This window comes from Homo sapiens, chromosome 3, assembly GCF_000001405.40.
Source record: "Homo sapiens chromosome 3, GRCh38.p14 Primary Assembly".
In the NCBI taxonomy this organism is placed as follows: domain Eukaryota; kingdom Metazoa; phylum Chordata; class Mammalia; order Primates; family Hominidae; genus Homo; species Homo sapiens.
In genome coordinates this window covers 16,100,480-16,102,827 of record NC_000003.12, presented here as the reverse complement: position 1 = coordinate 16,102,827, position 2,348 = coordinate 16,100,480, and the positions used below count along the sequence as shown (strand labels likewise).

General features: G+C 43.7%; 2 annotated features.

The window, feature by feature from the left end:
* Positions 775-1,974: an enhancer, noted in NCBI's record as "P300/CBP strongly-dependent group 1 enhancer chr3:16142361-16143560 (GRCh37/hg19 assembly coordinates)". NCBI's record gives its function as "activates an origin of replication core promoter dependent on BRD2, BRD4, P300/CBP, MED14 and CDK7 cofactors, with strong dependence on P300/CBP, by STARR-seq in HCT116 cells {active_cell/tissue: HCT116}" and the evidence as "EXISTENCE:reporter gene assay evidence [ECO:0000049][PMID:35650434]".
* Positions 1,012-1,306: an enhancer, noted in NCBI's record as "tiled region #11264; HepG2 Activating DNase matched - State 9:DNaseU, and K562 Activating non-DNase unmatched - State 24:Quies". NCBI's record gives its function as "activates a minimal TATA promoter and a strong SV40 promoter by Sharpr-MPRA in HepG2 cells, with weaker activation in K562 cells {active_cell/tissue: HepG2 | K562}" and the evidence as "EXISTENCE:reporter gene assay evidence [ECO:0000049][PMID:27701403]".

Genomic DNA, 2,348 nt, shown 5'->3' with positions numbered 1-2,348 from the left:
GTGGTTGGAAAAGACCTCTCTAGGGAATATCCCATTTAAGCTGAGACTTGAATAACAAAAAGATGCATCCAGCAAAGATCTGGGGGAAGGGTATTCCAGGAAGAAGGAACAGCAAATGCAAAGGCTTTAAGAAAAGGCAGGGACAAGCCTGGCGTGTTCAAGAAAAAGGTCAATATGCCGGAGTGAAGAATAGAGTGATTTGAGATGAGGCCAAGGAGGTCTGCAGGGGCCAGATCACATAAGATTGCAGACTATAAGAAATAAAACTTGTCTGCCTGTTGTGGACAATCATTCAAATCTATTGGAGAAAATACAGTATTGAGTATGAGAGATGGTGTACAGCATAATGATTAGGGGCTCAGGCTCTGCAAATGGAACTCTTTTGGGATATATCCCTGCTCTGCCACTGTGCTGTGTGAGCTTTGACAAATGGCTTAGCCTCTCTGGGCATTTACCAGTGAAAGAGATCTGAGTTACCCCAAATTACTGTCAGTGAATCCATATGCGTCCACAGCAACTTCAGTCCTTGCCTCCTCCAAAGAAAGAATTCGACTGAGGGGCATAAAGCAGAAAAAGAGACCAAGCCAAGTTTCAGAGCAGGAGTGAAAGTTTATTAAAAAGGCTTTAGAACAGGAAAGAAAGGAAAAATTGCTTGAAAGAGACTGAAGCAGGCACCTGAAGGTCAAAGAGAGAAAAGAGAGCAAAAGAAGACAGCAAAAAAGGGGCCTTTAACCTTGATCCTAGTCTCGCCTCTTTCCCATGATCCCTCCCTTAGAGTGAATTTTCCGCATGCCCAGTGCTTTCTTACCCTTGGGAATTGAGCACCCGCAGTGCTTAGGGAGTTACCCACGTGTCCCTCTGAAGCTTTCTTTCCTTTTCTGGTGGCATGTGCCCCCAAAAGATCATACTTCACCGTTTTTGTCTCTTAACATGCATGCTGTTAGATACGAGTTCTAAATTTATCTTCAAAGACTCAATATGTCAGTATGTTCAGTTCTTTGCCTTCTACTTTTAAACTTAACTTCCTCATAAAGCAACCTTTTTCGATCACCTGCTCCACCCTGACTCACTCCGATTACCTGCTCTGCCCAGACTCATTCTCATCAACTGCCCCACCCTGAATCATTCCAATCACCTGCTCCACTCTGACTCATTCCGATTACCTGCTTCTCCCTGACTCATTCTCCATCCTGACTCATTTTGATTTCCTGCTCTGCCATAACCATTTTTCCTGCCAAACCACTCACCCCATCACTCTCTTTAAATTAGCCAATCGGAATTAGTTTAGCCTGTGCAGTCTAACCCCAGCCAATAGGGGAAGGACAGGGCAGCAGGTGCCACGTGCGTCAGGAGTAAGAACCCCTTCCCCTCCCTTGTCCAGGTGTGCGCTCACCATTGCTCCATCTGTGAGGGTGCACCCTTCTATAGAAGTACATTGCCTTGCTGAGAAGAAAAAAAGAAAATGTTATATTCGAGTGCTATTTCTCCCTGGGCCTGCATTCAATTGACATTTTGATGTTAACAGGTGTGGAGCATCAGGAAATGGCCTGTCAATGGTGCTGCTGAACTGTCATTTTTAGAGAGGCAATGAGATAATTGCCAAACCATCACCTGACATTTCCAGAGGGTGGTAGGCGGAGAGCCCTGTCCTGCCCTACTCATGCCTAACTACCAGTAACAGGGTCTCAACTTCTTCAGCTTTTAAGTTGGACATAACAATAGTTCTACCTCATAGACACTATTTTAAGTATTAAATAAATTTTTATATATAAAGAGCTTAGAACACTGCCTGGAATATAGTAGTGCTTGAGTTTTATTTGATTAATTGTTGCTGTTGTGATTGTTATGGACTTATTATTAATGAGAAAAGAACTTTCCATGGATTCTTCACTATGTTAAATTTATTTATTTTTTATTGAGACAGAGTTTCAGCCTCCCGAGTAGCTGGGATTACAGGCATGCGCCACCTCGCTCGGCTAATTTTGTATTTTTAGTAGAGACGGGGTTTCTCCATGTTGGTCAACCTGGTCTCAAACTCCCGACCTCAGGTGATCTGCCTGCCTCAGCCTCCTGCAGTGCTGGGATTACAGGCGTGAGCCACCACGCCTGGCCCACTATGTTAATTTTAAAAATGATTAGCAGAATAACATCATCATAGATTGCGTTATCTGTCCTTAATTCTTCCTTCCCTTCCTGCTCTTGCCAACCTTCAGTATTAGTTTGCTATAGTGACTTAAACAAAAGAAATTTATTTTCTCACAGCTTTAAAGGCTGGAAGTCTGAGATCAAGATGTTGATGGGGTTGGTTTCTCCTGAGGGCTGTGAGAAGAGAATCCAGGCCTCTCTCT